At 32.3% G+C, this 831-nt stretch overlaps 1 annotated feature.

The window, feature by feature from the left end:
* Positions 414-583: an enhancer, noted in NCBI's record as "experimental_66079 CRE fragment used in MPRA reporter constructs". NCBI's record gives its function as "activates a minimal promoter by MPRAs in K562 erythroleukemia cells, with activity observed for both the introgressed and non-introgressed 3:162107198 variant alleles {active_cell/tissue: K562}" and the evidence as "EXISTENCE:reporter gene assay evidence [ECO:0000049][PMID:34662402]".

Here is an 831-nt window from a genome sequence, read left to right as displayed (position 1 = left end):
AATAAAACTAATTTTGCTGTATAATTTATAAGCGGTCTCTTCAAGGTCCAAAGAAAATCACTGGTATATTTTAAATCAGAATTTCATTATCTCAACAAATACTTTATTCTTCTATTTATTGCATTAGTGGAACTTAAACAATTGATGCATGAGATTACAAGAGTTTTAAAACAGAAATGTATTTTAGCATTAAATCAGCTATTTAACAACAAAGTATGCAAAGTTTTACATCCTAAAAGAGCCATTTAAGCATTACCATGACTCTAATTTGTCAGTGCTATTTTTAAAATACAAGCTCTAATTGCTTTTAATTTTTGAACTCTTAAGAGAGTTCAATGTTTTTATATTTCTAAGATAAATATAAATAAATTACAAGACAAAGTTAGAATAAGAGGTCTTGTCTCTTGACCATTACAAATGAAAGCAGATATATTTAAACACCTGTTCAAGTTCTCTTTCGATTCATTTTGGCCTTATCCGCATTGTCTAAACAATTACATGCAGAGCCTTCAAATGGTTAAGGCCAAAAACTGGTTGTTTTCCTTTATTCAAGGATAGTCGCCTTATTTGATTTTATTCTAGAACAGTTTTCATTTTTCTTTTAATAGAAACAAATAAAGCTAATTTTGTTTTGTTTTTGTTTTTGTTTTTTGAAGCATAATCTCACTCTGTCACCCAGGCTGGAGTGCAATGGCGTGATCTCAGCTCACTGCAATCTCTGCCTCCTGGGTTCAAGGGATTCTCCTCCCTCAGCCTCCCAAGTAGCTGGGATTACAGGTGCCCCCGCACTGTGCCTGGCTAATCTTTCTACCTTTTTTTTTTTTTTTAGTA

Source organism: Homo sapiens, chromosome 3 (genome assembly GCF_000001405.40).
Source record: "Homo sapiens chromosome 3, GRCh38.p14 Primary Assembly".
In the NCBI taxonomy this organism is placed as follows: domain Eukaryota; kingdom Metazoa; phylum Chordata; class Mammalia; order Primates; family Hominidae; genus Homo; species Homo sapiens.
This window is presented reverse-complemented; position numbering and strand designations above follow the sequence as displayed.